Source organism: Homo sapiens, chromosome 6 (genome assembly GCF_000001405.40).
Source record: "Homo sapiens chromosome 6, GRCh38.p14 Primary Assembly".
Taxonomy (NCBI): Eukaryota; Metazoa; Chordata; class Mammalia; order Primates; family Hominidae; genus Homo; species Homo sapiens.
Genome location: NC_000006.12, coordinates 51,633,496 through 51,660,953, shown reverse-complemented (window position 1 = coordinate 51,660,953; position 27,458 = coordinate 51,633,496). Strand labels below are relative to the sequence as shown.

The 27,458-nt window shown below is 37.7% G+C and overlaps 1 protein-coding gene and 1 long non-coding RNA gene across 16 annotated transcripts in view; one reads left to right on the top strand and one right to left on the bottom strand.

The window, feature by feature from the left end:
• Window positions 1–8,867, bottom strand: part of LOC124900615 (uncharacterized) — a 31,884-nt gene extending 23,017 nt beyond the window's left edge. Inside the window, exons 1-2 of the long non-coding RNA XR_926871.3 lie at window positions 8,778–8,867; window positions 8,581–8,645 (exon numbers count right to left, since the gene is read on the bottom strand). This is a non-coding gene — a long non-coding RNA (uncharacterized LOC124900615). The remainder of the gene's footprint in view (window positions 1–8,580; window positions 8,646–8,777) is intronic.
• PKHD1 (PKHD1 ciliary IPT domain containing fibrocystin/polyductin) overlaps window positions 1–27,458 on the top strand; it is a 472,317-nt gene that overhangs the window by 426,662 nt on the left and 18,197 nt on the right. For 13 of the 15 annotated variants that reach the window (XM_017010944.3, XM_017010945.3, XM_017010947.3 and 10 more), the window contains 4 exons: window positions 985–2,002; window positions 11,734–11,869; window positions 12,836–12,923; window positions 21,998–22,105. In XM_017010944.3, coding sequence (XP_016866433.1) covers window positions 985–2,002; window positions 11,734–11,869; window positions 12,836–12,923; window positions 21,998–22,105 — 1,350 coding nt within the window. Of the gene's footprint in view, window positions 1–984; window positions 2,003–11,733; window positions 11,884–12,835; window positions 12,924–21,997; window positions 22,106–27,458 lie in introns of those variants that run through there. The other 2 variants (XR_001743469.2, XM_011514687.2) reach the window with 2 other exon arrangements.

Genomic DNA, 27,458 nt, shown 5'->3' with positions numbered 1-27,458 from the left:
ACATCAAGCCTCATCTCCTCACCATCCCCATTTCAGGGGAAGGGAGAGAGTCTGAAGGTTGAGTCGATCACCAACAACCAATAACTTAGTCAATCATACCTACATAATGGAGCCTCCATGAAAGGCTGAAAGGACAGGATTGGGAGAGCTTTCAGGTGGCTGAACGCATGGAAGTGTCTTGAGGGTGGCACATGCAGAGGGCATGGAAGCTCCATGCCCTTCCCACATGCCTTGTCCTATGCGTCTCTTCCATCTGTCTGTTCATCTGCGTCTTTTGTAATATCCTTTATAATAAATGAAAAAACATAAGTAAATGTTTCCCTGAGTTTTGTAAGCCTCTCTAGCGAGTTAATTGAATTCAAGGATGGAGTCCTGAGAGCCCTGATTTATATAGCCAGTTGTTCAGAAGCAGAGGTCACAGCCTAGGACTTGCAATTGGCATCTGAAATAGGGGCATGCTTGTAAGACTGAGCCCTTACCTTGTGGAGTCTGCACTAACTTTGTTTAGTATCAGAATTTGGTTAAATTATGTGACACCCAGTTTGTATCCACTGGAGAATTGGTTGCTGGTGTGGTGAAATACCTACACATTTTGGTGACCAGAGGTGAGGTATTTTGTGTTATATGGAGTGTGTGAGAGTAGTAAAAAGCAGTTTATCTTGCTTTTCTCTCAAGGGCCCTTAATGATTATTTCATTGTCTTGATTCTTTTACTTCTTCAACTCCTTTTCTCAGTTATTATCTCCATTATTAACTTTAAATAACATATTATGTAACATATACTTTTAAAATATATTAAAGAACTATTATTTAATTTTTAAAAATATTTTGCCGCAATCTTCCTTGCACTCTCAGTATCTGGCACAATTAGATGTTTAATAAATATTTTATCCAGTTATAGATGATGGCAAGAGTGATGGATTACAAATAATCATTGACAGATTATAATTCATATATCACTTGTTTTGCTTCTTTTCTTTTATAGGTACATTTAGAGAAGAACAGAAATGTACATACCAATTTCTGATGCAAGGATTCATCTGCAAACAGACTGACCAAGTGGTCCTAATTCTTGATAGCGCTGATGCCATTTGGGCAATTCAGAAGTTATATCCAGTTGTATCTGTGACTAGTGGTTTTGTTGATGTCTTTAGCAGTGTAAATGCCAATATTCCCTGCTCTACTTCTGGGTCAGTGTCTACTTTCTATTCTATCTTACCCATCAGGCAAATCACCAAAGTCTGCTTCATGGATCAAACTCCTCAAGTTTTGCGCTTTTTTCTATTGGGGAACAAAAGTACCTCCAAGCTTCTCTTGGCTGTATTCTACCATGAGCTCCAGAGCCCCCACGTCTTCTTAGGGGAAAGTTTTATTCCACCCACTCTGGTTCAGTCAGCTTCCTTATTGCTGAATGAATCTATTGGTGCCAACTATTTCAACATCATGGATAACCTCTTGTATGTTGTCCTACAAGGAGAGGAGCCCATTGAAATACGCTCAGGTGTTTCCATTCACTTGGCCCTCACTGTGATGGTTTCAGTCTTAGAAAAAGGCTGGGAAATAGTAATACTCGAAAGACTAACTAACTTCTTACAGATTGGCCAAAACCAAATCAGGTTTATTCACGAGATGCCTGGCCATGAAGAGACCTTAAAGGCCATTGCTGACAGTAGAGCAAAAAGAAAGCGCAATTGCCCTACTGTGACTTGCACTAGTCATTATAGAAGAGTTGGTCAACGTAGGCCTCTCATGATGGAAATGAACTCACATAGGGCTTCACCCCCAATGACTGTGGAAACTATCTCAAAAGTGATTGTCATTGAAATTGGTGATTCGCCAACAGTAAGGAGCACTGGAATGATTTCATCCTTATCAAGTAACAAATTACAGAATTTGGCTCATCGAGTCATCACTGCTCAACAGACTGGGGTACTAGAGAATGTTCTGAATATGACTATCGGGGCCTTACTAGTTACTCAGTCAAAGGGAGTCATTGGCTATGGGTAAGTACTAATTATATTCACATCCAAATGAGGGCTGATTTTTTAGGTCCATATTGACATATGTTGCAAATGTCAATCTACTTACACTGAATCATATAACTCATCTGCTTTTTAAGATAAGAATAAAAATTCAAAGAGTCATTTAAAGACTTAAATTCTTAGTTTTTAGATTCTATATTAAATTCATGTTTTTCATGATTATTCTATTTCCAAGGTGGTAGAAAACATTATATTTTGATTCCTTAAGGTGAAAAGCATGTAGGAAGAGATATTTTTGAAGCAACTTGTTTTTAGTTCATTTGATTGTTTATTTATTTATTTAATGAATTTAAGCAATGGGCTAGGTTCTAGGGTTGGTAAAGTGAAATAGATGTTATTCTGTTGCTACTGCTATATCATTTTATTTGTGATAGTGCTAATAAGCTATTAGTATTTAATGGGTAGTGACTACTTCTATACAACCATCTCCAGTGAATGTGGAATTTGGTAGAACTTAAATAAAAAGCAAAACTAAAAAGAAAACCACGTCCTCACACTTGGAGAAATATTCAGCTAATACATTGATTGTCTTTTTGTACACAGAGCAACATATCCAAGTGAAAGTTTAGCTAGTGTTTTTGTGTTTATAATAGAGATGGATGTTCCTCTTTCCTGTTATACATTGATATATAAAGAGGATGAGAAAAAATGCAAGCAAATTTTTCTGGATCTGGTTGATTTAAGGCCTTTGGGAATTGTTAACTTAAAATTAAAAGGTACTCATAGCTTATTATTATTCAAAATTTATTCAGTTTTGGATATTTTTGTCAACTACCAAACCTTCACCATGTTAGTGACATTATTATAATATTGTGTATGGTGGTATGAGAATTAGAATGCTTAAAGAAATGATGCTGATGCATCTTAGCTTACATTGAAATATCTTTCCTTTTGCCCAATTTTATTTAGATCCCACTGAGTTCTTGTAAGTATATTATAAGTATACATACATGAATAATTTTTGTCTAGAGAGAAAGAGAGTCAGTTTATTGCTTAATTTTATTTAGATTTTACAGTACTGAGCTTTCTAATAGGTCGTAATTCCAAAATGACTGATTTTATATTATATATAAAAGACGACTCAGTTAATATTGTGCTTTTAACTAGAAACAGAGAAAAGTCAATGAGTAGAAGCAATAGAGGTACATCAGAAGAAAACCAGCAGAGAGTGGATCCAGCACAAGTTTAGATATATACACACATATATGTGGGGCATGCCATTCTATCATGAGGAAGTGAAACAGCTTCAGAGAAAAGATCACTTTTATTTATCACCCACCATTTGTCATAGCCATCATGTTTTTTTACTTTTGACTCAGTTATTTCTGATTTAATAAGAAACAGTTCAAAGTGTATAATATAGCATTGATTTTGTGTTGGAATGTGTTCTATCCGCCTATCTCTCTCTCTTTTTCTTTAGCATTTTAAAAGACATTTTCTAGACATAAGGCAAAGAGTAAATCTTCTGAAGATAAAGAAGGGCTGCTTCTTAAGTATGTCTGAACAAATTTCTCCCGAATAAGAAATGCCATATCCTATGGCATTCAATGAGAATTAGCAAGGTTTCTCATGTTTTCTAGTGTTGCACAGTATGATAAAAAACCAAACCAAAATGAAACAAAACCCTAAAGCCCGACACAGTCTCCAGAGCCAGCCTTGTTTCTTTCAGCTTTGATCACAGTCAGTTGGGTCTTCCATTGAACTCACTGGAGAGCCATTGACGAGCCCATGAACTGACCTTAAGCCAGCAGAAATGAGTCTAGGAATGCAGTTCTTTCTTTTTTTTTTTTTTATTATTATTATACTTTAAGTTTTTTCATGGAAAAGTACCAAGGATGTTCTCCAGTGGTTTGCTCTCGTTAATTTAATGAGCTTATATGCATTTCAACAAATTCAGGCCATACTGGACACATTTTTCTAAGAGAGTACTAGCTACTTTCAAAAGCTACCAACTTTGGGCCAGGCGTGATGGCTCACACCTGTAATCTCAGCACTTTGGGAGGTGGAGGTAGGTGGATAGCTTGAGCGCAGGAGTTTGAGACCAGCCTAGGCAACATGGTGAAACCCCGTCTCTACAAAAACACAAAAATTAGCTGGATGTGATGGTGCATGCCTGTAGTCCCAGCTACTTGGAAGGCTGAGGTGGATTGTTTTAGCCTGGGAGAGAGAGGTTGCAATGAGCTGAGATTATGCCACTACACACCAGCCTGGGTGACAGAGCCAGATACTGTCTTAAAAAAAAAAAAAAAGAAAGAAAAGCTATAAGCTACCAACTCTGTTTTGTGGGAAGAAACGGAGTAGCCATCTACTTTTAAAGTAAATAATACACAGTGAACTAGCCTCTTCTGGTCTTTCTCTAGAGGCATCTGGATTCAAGCATCCTCTGCTTAGCTAAGTTTCCATCACCATGTTTTCCAACTTCCAAAACTTTGTTGATCTCTGTTGTCATTTGTTGTCTTCTTGCATGTGGCATGGTGGTTTGCTGCACCTATCAACCTGCCATCTAGGTTTTCAGCCCCACATGCGTTAGGTATTTGTCCTAATGCTCTCCCTTCCCTTGCTCCCCACCCGTCAACAGGCCCCGGTGTGTGATGTTCCCCTCACTGTGTCCATGTATTGTCATTATTCAACTCCCACTTATGAGTGAGAACATGCGGTGTTTGGTTTTCTGTTCCTGTGTTAGTTTGCTGAGAATGATGGCTTCCAGCTTTGTCCTTGTCTCTGCAAAGGGCATGAACTGATTCTTTTTTATGACTGCATAGCATTCCATGGTGTATATGTGCCACATTTCTTTATCCAGTCTATCATTGATGGGCATTTGGGTTGGTTCCAAGTCTTTGCTATTGTGAATAGTGCTGCAATAAACATATGTGTGCATGTGTCTTTATAGTAGAATGATTTATAAATAATCCTTTGGGTATATCCCCAGTAGTGGGATTGCTGAGTCAAATGGTATTTCTTGTTCTAGATCCTTGAGGAATCGCCACACTCTCTTCCACAATGGTTGAACTAATTTACACTCCCACCAACAGTGTAAAAGTGTTCCTATTTCTCCACAGGCTCACCAGCATCTGTTATTTCCTGACTTTTTAATAATTGCCTTTCTGACTGGCATGAGATAGTATCTCATTGTGGTTTTTCAGGGACCTCAATTCTGTAGTCATAGGAAATGCATTCTTCCAACAACCTGTTTGGAAGTGAACTCTTCAGTAAACCCAGCCAAGCCTGTCTGGACTCCTGGCCCACTCCCTGGAGATAACACATTTGTGTTACTGTAAGCCACTGACTGTGGTAATTTGTTATACAGCAATAGAAAGTAATATGGCATATCACATAAAGCTCTTTGTTTGTGACATTGCCATGAATTTTGGGCCATGAAAACAGTTACTGTGAGGGTGAGCATGACACTGTGGGAGTGTGTGTCTGGGTGTGTGCAATGTGTATATACTTATCATATTAGTAGCTTTTTAAGTTCCCCCATTCTGCATAAGGAGCACCCTATCAGGTTGCTTTGGAATAGAGAAGAAAACCAGGAAAGCCAATCAATTATACAAGTCTTTTGGCATTCAGTCACCTTTAGCATTTTCTCTTCTGCATCTTCTCCTCTTTATGTATCCTGGGCACCTGCTTTCTAGAAGAGAGCTGTTTGGAGCATGAAAGAGTAGAATCTTTCTATCAGCAAGGAAGTATGTTCTTTTCCAGACCGGCAGAATGTTCATCCTAGAAGAGATTCCTATATTGCCAGCTTGTCTCTTTTCTTCCCTATGACAAAAATCACAACTTTGCCATTAAAGAGTGTTTTTACATCATTTCTTCTTTTCACTACAGTACAAATTCACTACTTTGTTTAATTGGGTCGATGGCAAAATTATTGTAATCTTATTTCATATGTGTGGCTTTGTGGGAAAGTGAGATGTTCTACGTAAGCAAGCTTTCCATACAATTAAAAATTGTTCCATTAATAACAAGCATTTTAAAAAGTCTTCAACTCTTAATCGTTAAAAAAAGACAAAGATTGCATAATACCCAGGCTTATTCAATGGGAAATAATGTAGACTGTTCACATTTGTTATGACGATTCATGGTCATCATTAAATCTGTCATTTACTTCACAATCCTGTTTTTGCTGTGATGCCCTTGGGTACTATTTTTCGTATACTGAATGGTGCCAGACCACTAAATCTTTAGTTCTTGTCCTGCGGTTTGTATTTTTTCTGCTATTTTGCTGTGAAAAGGATGCTAATTGTAATCTATTGTATTTTTTTTTTTGCTATTTTGCTATGAAAAGGATGCTAATTGTAATCTATTGTTGCTGTTGACATATCCACATCCAGAAAAGTTCTAAGTCCAAAATCAGACGACACTAACTTAAAATCAATTAATTTAAGAATTATTTGTACACATAGTGAACTCATAGGTAAATATAATAGACTCTTGAAAGCTTACATGCCAATGTTTTTTATTCCCCAGTGTTAACCGAACAGCTATTATGTTCAAAATATCATATGGTCCCTATAAGAATCTAGAGATTTGAAAATTAATGGATATGAAAAACAACATTTATTCAACTATTTAATGAGAAGATGTTATACTAAATCTCATTCCGTATCTATTACAAATAAATCATTAATTCTCTATGAAGCTGCTTAGCCATTAATCCAGTTTTTTGTAACATTAACTTGAGTATAAAATGTTAATCTTTATAAAATTTATTAGGTGGTCAAGGTTTCGACTTATGATTATATTCTCAAGTGTGCCTAAGCACATTGTAAATCACAATAAATTATCATTCAATATATCACATACAGTGAAAGGTAGCCTGTTTTACTTTTCTACTATTCTAAAACTCCTGTGCAACCAATATCTTGAATTAAATCTCTTCCATTAGAAAGACCTTGAGTGATTTCTGTTTTCCTGTACAGACTTATGACTGCTACAGCTCCCCAGGCTAAACAGGAAAATTTGATTATTTTGCGTATGGTCTTTAAAAATGCAGAGTTTTCATTCTCCTAGATAAAATACTCATGCTAGATTTATTATAAAATCTTGTTTTAAATGATTTACCAATTAAAATACTTAGGTTTTTGTCCCCTGATTTTTGCTTATAATTGATTTTACTTATCTTTCATTGTCCTTGTGCCCTGTTAAACCCACCTAGGCTTACTTAACAGCTAGTCAACTCCTAAGAGGTGTAGTTGTCCCCTGAATTGTTGGAAGATGTACCGTGTTTATTCTGTGTCTTTATATACTTCTGATCCACTGCAAGTTATACCTAAGGTTACTGGAATCTCATTTTTAAATGAATAATTCCATGGAATCACAAGAGTTTAATCAGAAGTATCACAGAATAGAAGTAAGCACACTGCTTGAGGAGTGCCCCAGAATGTGAAGTTGAAGGCAAAGATGAGTGGTAGTTTTTCAGAGGCAATTAGTGACCTAAGAACAGAGGGGATGCATAGTAGGTACTGATTTGGCAAGTGTTACTATAACAACATGTACTGGGTGCTTACAACATGCCAGGCTTGGAACTACTAGACCACAGTGCCAGAAAAAAACCGTCAGATCATAAGACATTTCTTCCCTCTTAGGAATTGGCTATTTGCTAAGAAAGCCTAGATAGGCTTAAAAGGGAGCATCAGGACCATGAAAGGTAAGAAAATTGTATCTATCAACTCAGAAGGATAACCAGAAAAGTCATTCTTGTCATACAAAGTATACAGAAGGTTATTCTTGAGGGGGAGAGATCACAGTGTTCTATATCTTTGCATATCTCACAGTGCCTTGAACAACATTTGTACATAGTAGAAGGGTTAACATATACTTGTTAACTATATAGAAATATGTTGATATTAGATTTGCATTTTCCCTGTATATAAACATAATATATTTAATTTAGAATTCTTTAGAATTGACTAAAGAATTTACTTTTTTCTTTCAGAGTACAAAATTGTCCAAAATCATTTTATATTTCAAGTCCCCTTGTGGCACATATAGAATATTTGGCCTTATCTAGCCTATTTAAAACAAGAGAGATAGGCCGGGCGCGGTGGCTCACGCCTGTAATCCCAGCACTTTGGGAGGCCGAGGCGGGCGGATCACGAGGTCAGGAGATCGAGACCATCCCGGCTAAAACGGTGAAACCCCGTCTCTACTAAAAATACAAAAAATTAGCCGGGCGTAGTGGCGGGCGCCTGTAGTCCCAGCTACTTGGGAGGCTGAGGCAGGAGAATGGCGTGAACCCGGGAGGCGGAGCTTGCAGTGAGCCGAGATCCCGCCACTGCACTCCAGCCTGGGCGACAGAGCGAGACTCCGTCTCAAAAAAAAAAAAAAAAAAAAAAAAAAAAAAAAAACAAGAGAGATAAAAAATGCTCAGGACATCATGAAGCATTCAATCAAAACATGAGGCTTTTTATAGGAACTCGGCTTAGTAGCTTTGAGAAGAAGGTTGAAGAGAGAGTATCTCTGATTTCCACCCCAACTTCACCTCACCCCACCACAGTAGGTCTTGTTGAGAGCCAGTTTTCACTAATAAAACTTACTTGCTTTCTGAGTTTTCCATGCAAATAGAAATAATTCCATCTTCTACAGGGTAAACATTTCAGATCTGGTGGAATCGAAAAGCAAGAATAATGACATGAATAGGAGTGATCTCTTAATTGGGAAATTTCTGTATTTTCTTGACTTTTCTCCTATAGCCTGCATTTAAGCATTGCAGAAAAAAAAATCTCTCACATACCTAACTGGGTATTGGAAGCTATTAAATAATGGTAAAAACTGGGATGAATGGAGGGAACTTTTCTCCCCCATTTTTTAAAGTTTGGCTGTAGGTCCTTCTGCCTGCAGGCTACAGTCACATTAGCAGTTGGAAATTGGATAACGACAGCACAATGACAAATCCAGGTTGCTTGCAATAAGTTGCTAATCCCTTTGCTTTAATATTGGAGCAGCATGTAATGATGTTTGGACATCACTCCAGTTTACTGACGACCCCACTGGGGCCAGCAATAGAACCTTACAACTGTCTAACAAGGCATCAGGTGACTCCCGTCGTCACAGCAACGGACACTGGAATCTAATCTTCCCTCCATCCCTTCTAGCACCCAATAACGCCTAGATTATATAAGTGGCCCATCATTGCTTGGTAACTTGAATCAATTAACGTTAATTCGCACAATGCTATGATGTATTGTGATCACTTTCATTTCAGGGAAGGGGGAGAAATTGCTATAAGTCACCTAAAATGAGGTTGTCTGTGGTGCTGAGGTATTAATTGGGTGTCCATATTAAATGCAAAAGGAGCCCATCATGAAAGGAAAGTGGATGAGTGACTCTCTTGGCTGCTATTGACCTATCAGAAGAAGACAGTGCCCTTTTCCTTTGCTTTTATCTATTACAGTTTTCCCTATTGCGTGTCAAGTTGATGTATTATAAAAAATTCATTTGATGACCTTTCACCCCCTTAGCAGATTAAACAATTTCACTTCGATGGCATCATTAACAGGACCCTGCATTTAATGATGATTTCTCTAAAAGGCCACGGAGATTCGATTTTAAGCTAACAGATTTATTGCACTATTATAACATATCGTAAAAAACAGTACCACCTACGGTCAGGTTTTAGGATAGAAACTGCTTAAGAGTTTATGTGGAGCTTAAAGTGGTATTACCTTGGGATATGCTGCAGCAGCAAGTCTGTGACCTCCAGTGAGATGCTGTTTACATTTAACAAGAGATGTTTGCTCACAATAAACTTTAAAGTGTGTCAGGAATGGACCTTTTAGCGGGTGTTCAGGCAGTTGGTTTCCCTCTCTTCGTCTCAAGACGTCAATGTACTTATGTGAGAATCTTTGATGGGGTCTTTCAGTCTCTTTAACCCAGACTGCTTGCCTGCATCCTAGCCCCTATCAGAAAGAATTTAAGGAAAAGGTTAGGGGAGAAATAGGATCTGATAACAACATTAGAATTTTCTAATAACCTGGAACCCACAGAAGGATAGAATTAATAGCATGGATTTAAAAAATCTGGTTTAAATTGTTCCCTTTAAAAAAGGAAAGAAGCCCTAGCCACTCAGGCTAAACAAACTAAGAAATGATGATGGGGCTAGTGTGAGTTGAATTCCCAGGGAGTGATTCCAGCCAAAAAGCCAGGGTCTTAGCTGGTAGATGACTAAAGAGCTTCTTAGGACCACATGTTTGCACTCTGCCCGCATTTCCTAGGATTCCCAGGGGAGAAGAAAATTGCTTCCTATGGAAACTTCATATTTAGTGATCCATTGTATTTGCTCTTCCACTATTTCCTCTTTCAGAACAAATCTTCACTTTTTCCTGACATGCACCCTCCATATTAAATAAATACTTTATCCTTTCCTCCTCACGTGGGGAAGGGGAGGTGGTTAGGAAATAGAATAGTTGACTTACATTTAATGGGAGAAAGCAAAGTAGGCTACTTTAAAAATAAATAAATAAATAAATACCTCATGAGACCTGGCCTAGGCTATTGAGGATAACTCACCAAGGGTTGCTCTATGTCAGGGTCCCATATATATGTGATGTCCAGGTGTCTGCATTTAGTTGCCAAACATCTGTTGCATGCCTATGATATGTAATTCACAATAGGCTTAATGGGACAATAGGTATATAATTTTATTTTAATGAAGCAGGCTCTGTCATCAAAAATACCGAAACTCTGAGTGAAATATGTTTTACACTGTCATGAATTATGTAACTATTTTCTATGTATTCCATTTTGTTGCTAAGTCATGTCAGCACTTAACATGTTCAAAGGAACTAAGAAGTAATATAGGTCATTGGTTAACCACTCTAGATCTTGGTCAACACTTACTATTTGTAGGACCTTTGGCAAGTTATTTAAGCCTTTTTGGACCTCAGTTTCTTCATATATAAATAAGAGTACCTACCACATAGTGTCATTTTAAAGATGCAATGAATTTATATATGAACACTTTATCATGGAACTTGGTATATAGTATGTGCTCAGTAAATATCAATTCTAAATATTATTCTCCTCAGATGCTTCATGCAACTGAAGTAAATTAATTCATTAATGCTATTAATAGTTATTGAATCCATTTAGTACAAACACACTCGGAAAATATAAATATGGCTTGTTGTGAAGATTAAATGAGCTATTCTGTGTAAACAGTGGTGTACTGGAGTTTGCTGTTGGGCATCTCTTCCCAGCTCTGCTCAGTGATATTATCTTGTCATCTCAGAATTAGCTATGTTGGTGGTATTTATATCACAGAATTGGAACACATCCACAAATCAGGGCATTATTTGGGAAGCTGATTTAATAGCTTACTATTGGACGTGTCCATGTCCTGTCATTTTAGTCTGAGGCTTTTATTATTATTATCTATATTAGTCTGAGGCTAATTTTCACTGAGGCTTTTATTTTTTGGCTGATTTTAATAAATGATGATAAAAATATATGCTCATAATTTGTGATTTTCCCTACCCCCTAGTCCATTTTCATTATAGCTAAGAAAACATATCAAATACATACACAATTAACCTTTGCTATAAAGCCATGTTCACTACACAATGTATTATTTTCTAGAAACACAGGCAAATGCAAATATTTTCACTGGTAATAATGGATTGTGGAAAATTGCTACCATAGGGATATGTGTAATCCTAAGGATGTATTTTGTTTGTTTTTATATCTGTCAGAAATACAAGCAGTTTTAAAACTGGGAACTTGATATATATTCGGCCCTATGCACTTTCCATCCTAGTCCAGCCTTCAGATGGAGAAGTGGGAAATGAGCTTCCAGTGCAGCCACAATTGGTATTTTTGGATGAGCAGGTAACTTTTCACAGGTAACAAATCTGTCTTTAGAGCTAAGTAGCATGTAGCATTCAGCCTATCTTTTAGAGTGTGTCATCATTGATACACATTTACAGAGTGCCCACTGGGTGCAATTTGTTGCACTTAGAGCTTCTCACTACTTTCACATTTTCCTTCCACTTCACAGCCTGCCTGCCTTCTATTTTCTCTGAACATTCAGAATTTGATCAAGGGTAAAAATAAAATTCTGATACTTTTCCTCCCCAACCAAATTCTTGAAGTAGATCTGTCACATCTTCTCTGAAATCTAGCCTTCACAAAGAAGTAGATCTATATCTGAAGAAGTTTTTCACATGCTAGTGAAGGAACTTATGACATTATAGATACATTACAGTTTTACGTTTTTTAAAATAATCTCTCTTATATGTGATTAAGTAAAACAAGAAGTTTCTGTGCTTAATTCTAATTTCAGTCTTTGTGTCCTGATTCTATTTTATCTTTTCAGTATTTACAAAATTCACAGTGAACTATGATTGTTGAATTGGCTTTCTCCTGTTTATAAATGCATCCCCTGACATGTTTGCAGAGAGAAATCTGTGGCACTGAGGTCCACACTTGAAAACCTGTCAACTTTGATGTGGTCTGGCACTCACCCAGCTCTCTCCTGTTTTCTTCTCTTTACCTTTCCTTTCTTAAGAACCTTCAGCACATAGTACCATTCTTTTCTATAAACATAGTTTTCCTTTCCTCTCCTCACTGTCCTGCCCCAACTTGTCTTGCAATAATTTCCTCACTCTTCTTACAATAAGTTAATTCTGATATATTCTTAACATGAGAAAGACATTTATTTATCACTTTCTTTCCTTTATTTCTACTGAATATATGCTTTATAAAAGCAAATATCTGATCCATCTTTTCTAACTTCACAAAATTCTCTTCTGAATCCAACTTTTTCTTCCTCCCTCCTCCTATTCCCATTTCTAGAATCGAAGAGTAGAGTCCCTGGGACCTCCTTCAGAGCCATGGACAATTTCAGCTTCCCTGGAAGGAGCATCAGACTCAGTGCTAAAAGGTAGGTAAAGTATCTGTAAATTTCAGATATCTGTTACCACTTTATCTGCACAGAAAATGTTTGCAGCCATTAGGAATTCATAGCAAAATTGGTAATACTGAATTTCTTCAGTAATTTGGGAAGAAACTCCTTCATCCCTAATCTACAGTGTCAGTGTCTGTGAAAAGGAAGATTAGGCTGGCAGCAAATCCTAAAGTCACCACTTTTTCTCTCCCTTCCCTTTCACAATAAAGCAACCTTTCCAACTTATCCGTATCCTTAAGGTAGTGTAAGGAAAAGTGCCTGGCATCTTTGGGTGAGCATCAAATCCTAGGTTTTCTACAGTCCACTCAGTGCCCCCACGACACACCCTTGTTTGGTATAGTATCATGGACTGGGCCAGGGAGCAATTTACCAAGTACAATATGATTTCTATGGGGAAATAGAAAGACTTGCTCTCAGTGGTATGAAGAATAAATGTGATGATAAGTGCAAAAGCACCTGACCCATAGCAGCCCTTAGCTAGTTTTTCTCCTTATGTTTGTCTACCCTCTTTTGTCTTCCTGTTCTATCCCAGCACCACTGCCAGCTCCACTTACTTTCCTTGAAGCTCATTTATATGAAAATCTATTTAAAATGCAGATTTCTACTAGGCCCAAGATAGTTTGGCAACATATTCTGCAGAAGGACCCAATAATGTGCATTTTAGGGCCTGGTCTAGAGAGAAGCAAGCAGGTGTAACATGATTTTTATGGGAAAAATAGTTTCTGAGTTCTAAGTTCCTATTTAACCCTCTCACACACAAAACCGTTGAAATACAACCTACTCAAAGAGACAAAAGAGACACATATTAATTTATTACGAAATTGTTCAATCATTGTATTTTTATGTTGTCAAACAGTACAATATATTATCCACAGAAAATATGTTAAGGAGAATGTGTTTGAGAAACAGAATTAAGGCAAAGGAGCCTCATAACTAAGGGAGATCAAGGGAAGAGGAAAAGTGAGACAGGTGCTGGAGCCAGACAGTCAACAGAGGACTCTGGGGACCATGGTGGGGAGTTTGGGCTGCGCTCTCAGTGAGATGCAGAGCCATTGGAGGGTTTTAAGCAGGCCAGTTCCAAGGTCTGACTCGCATGTTTAGAGGACCACTCTGCTCTATGGAGGGTGGATTGGAGAATGGCAAGAGTGAACCTCCTGAGCCAGTTGGAAAGTGATTGCAAAAGGCCAGGCAAGGGATGGTGGAGATCACAACTGGATTGATTCAGAATGTCTTTTAGAAGTTGAATCAGCAGAATCTACTAGGAGTAAAGAAAACAAGGACTTAAGGACAACTTATAGGTTTTGATCTTGTTATATTGGGTGGATATTGGTGTTATTTACTGAAATGGGGAAGACTGGATTGGGAGCAAAAAGCAAGAGTTTTTATGATGAGAAACATGAAAAGGTAAGTACAACCTGGTTGCTGGGCCAAATTAAGACGTAGGCCCTTTTGATTTCAGTTTTAAGGCAGTAAGAGCAAGAGGTTGTGTTTTACAATTAATATAGTTTGTGTTCTGGGTGTCACAAGAGTTTTTTTCTTCTTACCTGCCTCCCTCCAACATAACCCATAAATTATTAATCATGCTTCCTACCAGGAGCCTTCTCCCTATTGTGTGCAGTCAATCTCCCAACACACAGATCTTGCCTGACAGCCTCAAACTCTTCATGCATAGGGGTTTCCTCTCTGCACAAGGGGCCTCACAATTATCACAGCACCTTGAAATTCTTCCTCTGCTTATGGGTAGGATTGTGTATTTCCTTCTCATCGGAGGGAGTCCCAATCATGCACAATATCACAGTCCAATTCTGGGCTTCACCTTGAGGTGAAGAGAAATTCATTTTATGTCAACCTGATATAACCTAGAATAGAAGGGTTCGATGGAACATTTAAAAATCATCTCCTATATTTGGATAGGGAGCTGGAGATTACAACAGTCTGAAAAAGTGAATCTGTTAAATTTCTTTAATCTCTCCCACTAGTTTCAATGAGAAAATTTAAAAAGTGTCCCAAGAATTCAAATGGATTAAAAATGATTTTTAAGGTAGATGGAAAATATCCTCAGAAAGGAAAGCATTCACTCCCTTCCCCACAACTTCTATGTCAGACAGTTTTCAAAAATCCTTGCAGGGTCCCAGTAAAAGAATAGAGCCAATGGGTTTATCTTGACTCCTTGAATTCAGAATTGTTGAATAATTCTGACCAAGAGCTAGGACTCAAGCAAATCTCTGCACTAAATATTGTGTTGCTATTTTAGATGAGAAATAATTTATAAATTCTTTGTGATTTCAAATGTGACTTGAAAATAATGTTTTCAGGCTGGGAACGGCGGTTCGTGCCTGTAATCCAGCACTTTGGGAGGCTAAGGTGGCTGGATCACTTGAGGTCAGGCATTTGAGACCAGCCTGGCCAACATGGTGAAACGCCGTCTCTACTAAAAATGCAAAAATTAGCCGGGCATGGTGGGCATGCGCCTGTAATCCCAGCTACTTGGGAAGCGGAGGCACGAGAATCACTTGAACCCAGGAGGCAGAGGTTGCGGTGAGCCAAGATGGCGCCACTGCACTCTAGCCTGGGTGACAGAGCAAGACTCCGTCTCAAGAAAAAAAGAAAAAAGAAAATAATGTTTTCAAAATATGCATACTATACAAAGAGATATATATCAGTACTGGTAAAAATTTTTTAAAAAAGAAAATAAAGGTTATTTGTTTTAAGCACAATTATCTATTATTACCTTGATATTTGTATATTATAATAGGGGAATAAGTAGGAAATCTTGTTAACTTTTGCAAATTCTTCTTTCTAGAAGTGTGATTTCAAGCACTGGCTTTTAATGCAGTTAGTATTGTAATTATAATGAAACATTCTTTGAGATTAGCCAGTAACATATTGAAAGGAAGTTTCATACCAATAAATCACTGAAAATTATAAATTGATATGGTGTATATGTACCTTTTTATAATTGGCCAAATATCTCCATTCTTATGCAAATTTGAGGATGTGTTTACCACTCTTTAAAAATTCGGTTTATTGGCCGGGCTCAGTGACACATGCCTGTAATGCCAGCACTTTGGGAGGCCAAGGCGGGCAGATCACAAGGTCAAGAGATCAAGACCATCCTGGCCAACATGGTAAAACCCCGTCTCTACTAATAATACGAAAATTAGGTAGACATGATGGCATGCACCTGAAGTCCCAGCTACTCAGGAGGCTGAGGCAGGAGAATTGCTTGAACCCGGGAGGTGGAGGTTGCAGTGAGCCAAGATCGCCCACTGCATTCCAGCCTGGTGACAGAGTGAGACTCCAGCTCAAAACAAAACAAAATCAGCTTATCCAATTTCCTGTGCACCTCATGAATCAGGTAGGGCATTTCTGTGGGTTTTGTGTTGTCCAAAATGTTTTTTTCAGGCTTAGAAATGACTCATGTGCCAGCTCAAACATCAGCCTACCTGCAAAATCACTGACTTCCAAGAATAGGCCATGATTTTACAGTTATTTCTTGCTCTACTCTGGCTATGAGTCTAAGCTCATTCAGATGGTTCCCATAAAATATATGGAATGTTCAAATGGATAGCCATAAGTCAATCATAGACGTGCCTCGTCTTCTAATTGCGTTTATTATTGGCCTAAAACTGTTCCTATCATATGGTGCACATTGCCTACCATTTCTGATGACATTGTTCCTTAATTTTTTGTTATTTGTCTCTTAAGAAACATATAAAATTGTTGTAATAAAGTCTCCAAGTTAATGAATAATCATTTGATGTTGTTTTCAATGAATTAATCTCAGATCTCAGTTTTTTTTTAATGTCACCATTTAATTTAGCTTATACATTTTGTTTCTGGCAAAGCTGCACCTCATCGATTCCAGAAAATGAAATTATCCCCTTCTAAAAATTCTCTTAAGGAGGCGATTGACATCTCGTGATTAAACAGTTCATAGCTTCAAAACCCTTACTTTTTAAAGCTTGCTTCGTCTTATTGTTTTATTAGAACAATAAATTTTCCCACTCTCTTTTCAATTTGACTTTCTACTATTTTGACCTGTTATTTTTTTTAACCCATCTAATTACTTATTAAGACACCAAATGTTTTCCAGTGAGAACACATGGACACAGGGAACAACACACACTGGGGCCTGTCAGAGATTGGGGGGAGGACTAAGGGGGAAGGAGAGCATCAGGATGAATAGCTAATGCATGTGGGGCTTAATACCTAGGTGATGAGTTGATAGGTGCAGCCAACCACCACGGCGCATGTTTGCCTACGTAACAAACCTGCATGTTCTGTACATGTATCCCGGAATTTAAAATAAAATAAAATAATTAAAACAAACAAAAAACAAAACAAAACGAGACTCTAAATGTTTTCAGCATGTCCACAAAAATAATTTTCTACCAAACTTTGAGGTCTTGCTCTCCTCAGTACCCTCTCCACGTTCTCTTTATACAATCCAAATTTAAAGGCCCAGGTAATGTGGCATATTTTGTCAGAATCTGCCCATAGACTCTCCAGACTTTCCCTTCTACTTACACAATCTATCTTTTGTTCAATTTGTTGAAAGTAACACCTGTGTGGGTAACTCATATTGTTGCTCCTGGTCATTTTTTTTTTTATTTTTTTAATGTGGGCAGTTCAGTTAGAAGCTTCTTGGGTTTAAAATCCCAAGGAATGAGGACAAACCAGAATGGTCCTTGTACAGATTTGTAGACACAAGGCATGTCATTAAGAAAGTAAGAAAATGAAGTGAATTTATCCAAGGTTGCCCACTGTGAAGATGAAAGATTCAGAATTGCATTTCGAACTGCCTGTTTTGATGCTGTCATTCTGTTCATTTTTCAGTGCCATTTTGCTACTGTTGGTGTTTTGGTATAGAAAGTGCTTAGGATATGTAACAGTCACTCACCTTCTGATCTTAATACAGCAGCATAGAAATATTAATTTTTAGCTTTTTTCATGTTCTGGTAATATTTACCACAGATACTCTCACATGACTACTGGAACTCACCTCCCCATTGTCTACTCCATGTGTTACCCATATTCTATTCCTTACCCATACTCCAAACCATACCCATACTCATGCCTTACATTGCTCCTCCAGACCTTATCCATACCTAAGACCCTACTTATACTCCATACCCTATGTATAGTCCATACCTTACTTTTTTTTGAGGCAGAGCCTGGCTCTGTTACCCAGGCTGGAATGCAGTGGCACGATCTTGTCTCACTGCAACCTCTGCCTCCCGGGTTCAAGTGATTCTCCTGTCTTAGCCTCCTGAGTAGCTGGGATTACAGGTGCCCACCACCACACCTGGCTAATTTTTCTATTTTTAGTAAAGACGGGGTTTTGCCGTGTTGGCCAAGCTGGTCTCGAAATCCTGACCTCAGGTGATCCTCCCGTATTGGCCTCCCAAAGTGTCGGGATTACAGGTGTGAGCCACCGTGCCCAGCCCATCCCTTACTTATATCCCTTACCTTGCCATACTTCATACATTACCATGTCCAATACCTTACTCATATTCTATGCCTTAGCCATATTCCACAACTTACACATACTCCATGCCTTATTCACACTCCATACTTTACCCATAGTCTGTACCTTACTCATATTCCATACTTTACACATTCTCCAGACCCTTACTCACACTTCATTTCTAACCCATAGTCCATATCTTACTTACTTATATTCTGTACCTTGCCACACTTTGCACATTATTTATACCCAGTACCTTACTTATGCTCCATGCCTTACCTATTCCCCATACCTTCTCCTATATGATACCTTACTGAGACTTTATATTTTACTTTGTCCTGACACTTATTGCACCTCATCTTTCATTATTTTTCTTTCAGTAACCTTAAGGATGTCATGCCCGGCCAGCTTAGAATCATGTTGTGGCCATGAAAAGTGAATGAGGCATGAAACCATTTACTCTTTATTTATTTATCTATTTATTTATTTATTATTATACTTTAAGTTCTGGGATACATGTGCAGAACATGCAGGTTTGTTACATAGGTATACATGTGCCATGGTGGTTTGCTGCACCCATCAACCCGTCATCTACATTAGTTATTTCTCCTAATGCTATCCCTCCCCTTGCTCCCCACTCCCTGACAGGCCCTAGTGTGTGATGTTCCCCTCCCTGTGCCCATATGTTCTCATTGTTCAACTCCCACTTCTCCTATGTGAGAACATGCTATGTTTGGTTTTCTGTTCCTGTGTTAGTTTGCTGAGAATGATGGTTTCCAGCTTCATCCATGTCCCTGCAAAGGACATTAACTAATTCTTTTTTATGGCTGCATAGTATTCCGTAGTGTATATGTGCCACATTTTCTTTATCCAGTCTATCATTGATGGGCATTTGTGTTGATTCCAAGTCTTTGCTATTGTGAGTGTGCTGCAATAAACATACATGTGCATGTGTCTTTATAGTAGCATGATTTATAATGCTTTGGATATATACCCAGTAATGGGATTGCTGGGTCAAATGGTATTTCTGGTTCTAGATCCTTGAGGAATCACCACACTGTCTTCCACAATGGTTGAACTAATTTACACTCCCACCAACAGTGTAAAAGGATTACTATTTCTCCACATATGTTGTTTCCTGACTTTTTAATGATTGCCATTCTAACTGGTGTGAGATGAGATACCATTTACTCTTTTATTCTACGGACACCAAGCCACACTCAAGCCAACTAGCTCACTTGGATCAGTATTGTCACTATTACCTTTTTTAAGAGATCCAATGGGAATGTGTGAGGACTAGTTTGAGGGTGTCTTATATACACACCTTTTTTATGTGAGTGAGTCATGAAGTAGGGAAGAAATCACATGCAGTTTTCTGTTTTTAGCATACCCATGTCACCAAACTACCCTATTTTATGTGATTGAAAGTTTCTCTTGAAGCCATCATGAAATACTACTTTTTCACTTCAGAAAGAATGCACCAAAAGCATTTGGGATGGATTATCTAACTTACTATAAGTATCTCCTGGAGAAAAACAAAATAACAACAACAAAACCATATCTATATATCTCCTCTAAATCTTTTGTTCTGCAATTTAACTTCATATTCTTTTTTCTTTAGTAGACCCTCCTCAGTGAAAAGGCAGTTACAACCTATTATCATAAAAAGTGAATTTATATACTCAAGGACAATTATTTACAGGTCTTCAATATCCTTTGACATTTATGGATCATAGTTGCACAAAAAAGTCCTTAATACTTTTAAAGATAACATCTCAACATTAACAATGTAACAGTTTGCTAGTATGCATACCTAGGAGTGAGTGGGATAGCTGTGGGGATAATTTGGGCTGCAAAGGTATTTTAGAAACTATCTATCCTGCAGAAACCCATTCAGGTATCATTCCCTGGTAGTTGTGTAATCAATTCCAAAGTTGCTCGAGCCCAGCACCCCACCCCATCCCAAGTCCCCCAGCCAGTATACTGTTTATACCAGCATGATCAGGGAGCCTGTCAATTGCATTTGTATATGTCATCATAGCTATTCTGAAGATATGATGAACCCTGGAGTAATGTACTATACTTAGCAGCAACTGCCTCAGCTTTTGAGCACATATGCTTCAAATCTGAGAATATCATAGATATATATGGGAATCTTTGTAGAGATCTCTAAGGCAAGCTGGTATTTAACGCAAAAGCAAACCCATTTAGAACTAAAGCACTTTCCATTAGGCAATTTGGCGGCTGTTCTACGAGGCCAACTCACTGTGCTCTACGGACACATTTCGATTAAATGCTGCTTTGTATTCTTCCAAAGATGGGAACAATAAAGACGTTTGTCAAAGGAAAAACTGCAGCAAATGATTTCATGTTGAACATCTGTACTCTTCAGTTCATTGTTTGCAAGAGTTTATTGACCATAATTTTGATGCATATAGGTTTTAAAGAGTATAAACTGCATTTATCTTGGGCACCTATCATTTATTTGAGTCTTGGCTTATTTATTTTCATTTTACTGGGCATTTTATTTATTTTAGAACTCAGAAGAGATGAAGCAAAAGATCTTTCTCAAAAAAGAAGTTTTAGTTAGCTCTGCAAAATTGATGAAGAAAGACAGTGTTTTCACAAAAAGATTAAGCAATTGAATTGAAAAATGTAACACTAAGCATATTGTATCTTTATGACACATTTCAGCCTTAGAGATCTCAAACCAATCTATAAACTTTCAGACCACTTTCATAACCCTTTGTCCACCATGCCAATCATATTGACATTTCCAGAGTAAAGTCTAGCAGCTGTTAATTAGGAAAATAATTTAGGGATGGTGGAGTCAAAAGACGATTAATGGTATTGTGAATGTGATACTGAGTTAAGCTGCCTTTTTTCACGTTATAAATGGATGACCTACTGTTAGAAGACGCAAGGGTTTTTTTTTGTTTTTGTTTTTGTTTTTTTCATTTTAGTTAGGGAAGCCAAGGCTCAGGCAATTCAAGTTGCTAAATCAGAGTAGCTCTATCAGTCATTATTTGGTAGATTGCCATGGTCCTGATCTCTTGGCCTAATTCTGGTACCACATAAACTATAGATAACTTGGATAGAAGAAAGACAGACTGTAGAAACTGACCACCTAGAAAGATAATAGAATTTCTTTCTTTATATATTATACATTTAATAATAATATAGCCAATATATTGTAGTGGTTAAGAATGCAGACTGAAATCAGGTAGATTTGGGCTGTAACCCCAGTACCACATAATTTAATCTTTCATGAGCCTATTTCCTAATTGCTAGAATATAGATAATAGCGTATTTTATAGGGTTGTTGTGTAGTTTGTAGGCAATCGTGTATATATAGAACAGTGTCTGGCATAGTGGAACTTTCAATATATGTTAACTGTTATTCTGTCTTGGGTCATTTGGTTCTAAGTCTTGACTAAGAAGAACCTGATGGATTAGGTAACCTCTTTGAGTTTAAAAAATTGTCCTTTATTGTCCAAATGTCTGCCTTCGCAGAAGACATGAAGACATTGTTCGAGATTAGATAATAAACAGCTAATTTTTGTTTTGTACTTTTTTGTAGGGTGCACCCAGGCAGAAACTCAAGATGGTTATGTTAGCTTCTACAACTTGGCAGTCTTGATCTCTGGGTCAAACTGGCACTTTATTTTTACTGTCACTTCTCCTCCAGGTAATTTTATACAGTGTGCTTTTATTCTGTGTTTTTTTTTTTTTTTTTTGAGAAGATAATCCTTTCTCCCTTATAGTGGGAATAGCTACTATCATGAATAAGAGGTCATCATAGTTTAGAAAATAAATTCACTTGACTGTATCATTAAGCTTGAGAAGAAAGAGCACATGTAGAAATGGAAACCTCAGGTTACTCCTGGTGAGCAAGAAACCAAATGTACATTTCCTTCTCAACATTGACGTTTACGTTCAGTGTTCTACTTGTTTTTTTCTTTAATTTACTTACCTGACATTTGGTTAGATATTAATAGGAGAATGTTAATTTATAAGAAAGAGAGTCATAGGATGTTGAAATTTTAACTTTGGGTCCTGTCCTCCTCAACCCCCTGCCAAATGGGGACAATACCCATCAACATCCTGGCACTTCAGAATAAGGGGTATGTAAATTGCATATCTGATCCAGTTCTTTTTGACAAAACATGTAAAAAAAACACCCTCTGGCGTATTAAATGTGACTCTCATGAAAATATAGTGATCATTTGTCAACATGTTATTTAACTCACTAATGAGGAAATCAGAAGATAAGAAAACTAATTAAAAGAGCATTTGGGAGATAGTGATCGTATAGCCAGGGAAGAAATGTTGAAATAAGTTTGCAATGGATACAGGGCAATAAAAGCAAAATTTTGATAGTCCAGTGTTTACAGATATCATTTGCATCCTTAACTATATAAAAATTGTTTCAGCATGTCAATCTTCTACAAATAAACATATCTGGGTCCTAATAAATAAATAATAAATAGTAAGTGAAACAAATATATGTTTGAGAGAACTTAATAAACTTTCAACGGGCCTTTTGAAAATGTTCCAGTATGACACTGGTAAGATCTGTAATCATAATCATTTTTCCTTTAATTCCAAGTTTTGGATTTTTTTTTGTTTTTTTGAGATGGAATCTCACTCTGTCACCCAGGCTGGAGTGCAGTGGCACAATCTCGGCTCACTGCAACCTCCACCTCCCAGGTTCAAGCAATTCTTCTGCCTCAGCCTCCTGAGTCACTGGGATTACAGGCATGCGCCACCAAGCCTGGCTAATTTTTGTATTTTTAGTAGAAATGAGGTTTCACCATGTTGGCCAGGCTGGTCTCGAATTTCTGACCTCGTGATTCGCCTGCCTCAGCCTCCCTAAGTGCTGGGATTACAGGCATCAGTCACCACGCCCAGCCTGGATTTTTTTTTTTTTTAACAAAAAGACTATCTTCTGAGATCAGATAATATTATTGCTCCCTGGCTATATGATCATTATCTCTTAAATGCTATTTAAACCAGTTTCATGTTCTTCCTGGTTTCTTCATTAATGAGATAAATAACCTGTCGACAAGTGCTCATTATATGTTTTCATGAGAGTCACATTTATACTTCAGAGGATGATTGCTTAAATACTTGTTAAAAGAGCAATTTACACATACTTTATGTGTCAAAGTGTCCTAACATAAGTACAGGTTCATAACAAACGTGTAGTGTCCTTGACCGTGGGATTCCCAATTCCCAGGGATTGTGCTGTAAGCTTGAGTTTTTGAATGGATATGTCTTAAAGGGTAAGACAGGCAGGAATGCATATTTTGTTCCAGATTTGTCTGACATTTAAAAGGCCTTTGTCCTTTAATTACCTCAGTAATTAATTAAGACTAACCAAATACGTTATCAAGTTTATTTTAAGGAATAGGTTGTAAAACCAAATGCGAAATGTATTGTAGACAGAAACTTCTTGGTAACTCCTGTGATTTTGAACTGGTCTTGGTGTTCACACTTAGTAGACTACTGCTTTATTGTAGTTTCTACTTACAGCCTGTAAAAAGAACTAACTGAAGAATCATTTGGAAAGTTTTCCCTTAGTGTTTTTCACTAAATTATTCCTCTTAATTTTCAAGATCAAGTCTGTTAGGTGAGACTCTTTCAGAATGAGATTTATAAAAGTTTAAATTTGGAGAGAATAGATGGAGGATAAAAAGAAAGGAAAAATATTAAATATCTGCACTTCTGTGACCCCTTGTTGACATCACACTGAGTAACGGTACACGTCCAGAGAGTAACTCCTTGTTTCCAAGTACATCAATTTGAAGTGCTAGAATGTTGGGGAAAGCAGCGTATATTCACACATTTTCGCCAAACAATGAAATTTCTTATTTCTAATAGGCTTCAAAATAATAGGTCTGATAAGCATTGTTTTATGTTATTGTTGTTTCTTTTGTTGTTTTGTGTGTGTGTGTGTGTTTGTTGTTGTTGTTGTTATTTTTAGAGAGGGTCTCAATCTGTCACCCAACACCCAGGCTGGAGTGCAGTGGCTCAATCATGGCTCATTGCAGTCTCAACCTCCCAGGCTCAAGCAATCCTCCTACCTCAGCCTCCAAAGTAGCTGGGACTACAGACGTGTGTGCCACCACACCCAGTTGGTTTATTTTATTTTATTTTTTGGTAGAGATGGGATCTTACTATGCTGCCCAGGCTGGTCTTAAACCCCTGGGCTCATGCTGGCATTATAGGCATTAGTCCCCGTGCCTGGTCTGTTGTTTCATTCATTCATGAATCAAGCAGAGAATTTGCAATCATTTCCACTATTTTCCCTCATCTCTCCAATATTTTAGAGAGAAAAACAAATTATTATTCCTATTTTAGAAATACAGAAAATAGATCTGCCCAAGTATTTATGGAATCCTCTTAGGTCTGACATATTATCAAATCCAGCTCATTTATCACTTCTCAACTTCCTGAGACACTGTCAAGAGATAAGGGTTTCTGTAAGTTTGTAGTACTGACTTCGTAGCTAGCCTTTCCACGTTCACTATCATTACCATGGTGTAGGCTGTGGCTTTTATGACCATTTCTTGGTGCCGTGGGGTTCTCAGGAGGCCCTCAGGGGCTGCTGCTGAGAAGAGATTAATGTAACCAGGTATCACCCACAAATCCGCCCCCGGCCCCCCGCCCCCCCCCACCTTCACCACAAATACAGTTAGCCAGAGAAACTCTACCTGTGGTTGCCAATTCCTTGGTTGGAATATTCTCCCCCCAGAAAGTCACGTGGCTAACTCAGCTCATTCAGATTTCTTCTCAAATATCTCCTCAAAGAGGACTCTTTTGGATCACTCAGTCTATACCATCCCCAATCCTCCCCACACCTCCAGCCACTGTGTCTTATAAACTCACTTTAGTTTTCTTTATGCACTTATCACTCCCTGGCTTTATAGTATCTATGTATTTATTTGTTTGTCTACTGTCCGTGTGCTGGGTCCTCCATTGAGACCAAAGTTCCAAAGGGACAGAGATTCTGCTTAGTTTGACATTATATCCCAAGGGTGTAGAAAAGCCTGGTGCATCATAGCTACAAATAAATATTTGTTTATGAATAAGTGAATATATTGAGATTATTTTTAAGATTGCAGTTTTAAAAAATGTTCTGATGCTAAGATAATTGAGAGCCAGTGGTCTCCACCCTTGGATTTAGATAATTTCGCCTGGTCACCCTGACTTTAGCTTCTCTGTCATTTTTGTGTTCTATACAAAAATGGACTGACTATATTTTATGTGGCTCATGTCACTTCTCAGTTTAGAATCTCCCCCTAGGCTGTGCGGGGTGGCTCATGCCTGTAATTCTGGCACTCTGGGAGGCTGAGACTGAAGGATCACTTGAGACCAGGAGTTCAAGACTAGCCTGGAAAACATAGCAATACCCCATCTCTACAATACATTAACAAAAAATTAGCCAGGTATGGTGGCACATGGTTGTAGTCCCAACCACCTGGCAGGCTGAAGCAGGAGGATCATATGAGCCCTGGTGTTCAGGGCTACAGTGAGCTATAATTGTGCCACTCATTGTACTGAAGTTTGGGTGATAGAGCTAGACCCTGTCTCTATTAACAAAATAAAAATAAAAAAGAATCTTTTCTTCTGTGATACTTCATGCCTTCAGAATGTTCTCAAGGGCCTTTTGCCTGATATTTAATGCCCATCCAGATTTGTCTCAAATTCTTCTAGCATTAAGTTCCAGTACTTTCCTGCGTAAGTCTCCTAAGTATCAATAGCTATTTTCTCCTCTCTGTCTTTGTTTATGTATTTGCACAGCCTTCAGAGTCCCCTCAGATACTTCCTCCTCCAGGATGCTTTCCCGAATCATATCAATGGAAAATAAACATCCAAAGCAATTGATTTGCATTATTCTAGTGGCATGTGTCACATCCTAATTTGTTTAACAAATGTTTGTTATGTGTATCTTATTTACTAGCTTGTAAATATCTTAAGAATGGGAACTGGTAACTTATCAACTTGACCCAGTAAACAATTACTGAGCAATCATTGACAAATGGATAAAAGTATGAAGAATTTAGTTTTTACTTCTGTAAATCCCAAGTAAAGTCTATTCCCCCATCTCTGTGCCTGATTGAGCTTATTCAGATGCCCATAAAAAGCAATTACTTGATAACAAACAAGCCAAATATGGCTCAGATACATGATGTATACAGAGGAGATTTTGTTGTAGTAGCTTTGGGACCAAGTCAGCCAGAAGTCAAGAGATTGAAGATCTGACTGTGACTTCCAGTAAAATTGTCAGGTTCAGCCCAGTGAAAGCACAGCAAAGAAAAACATGGTGTTTCCTTGAGTACATAAAATAAAAACTCTTTTTGCCTGAGTTATGTGGATGAAAGCAGAAGTTTGAAGTTTGCTTGTTTGTTTTGAATGAGCTGCTTTAAAAATGCTGGCTGTAACTGTTCATAAACAAGTTTTTTTTTTTTAAATAAACCTGTTTGTATTGAGATATGATTGACACATGATAAGCATATTTAAAGCATACCATTTGATACATTTTGATGAATGCCTACTCCCATGAAAGCATCCTCATTATTAGAATAATGAATATATTCATCACCCCCAAAATTAAAGGCAAGTTTTCAAACAATTTATTTTTAAAATGAATGTACTTTAAAATTGACATTTTTGTATGTGGTTTTATTACTTCAAATACATGTATAGATCCATGTAACCATCCCCACAGTCAGGATAAGGACCATTTCATCACCCCAAAAATCTGTTCTCACATACATGTAGCCTTTCTCCACCATTCATCGTTGGCAACCACTGATCTGTTCTTTAACTCTATAGTTTTGTCTTTTCTACAGTGTTATATAAATGGAATCCTACAAATGTGTACCATTCAGAGATGGGCTTCCCTTACTCAGCATAATGCCTTTTATGCTCATTCTAGTTGTTACAGGTTATCAATTGTGTGTTTGTTTCTTTTCCTTTTTCTTTCCTTTCTTTCTTTTTTGGCTGAGTAGTTTTTCATTGTCTAGATAAACTGT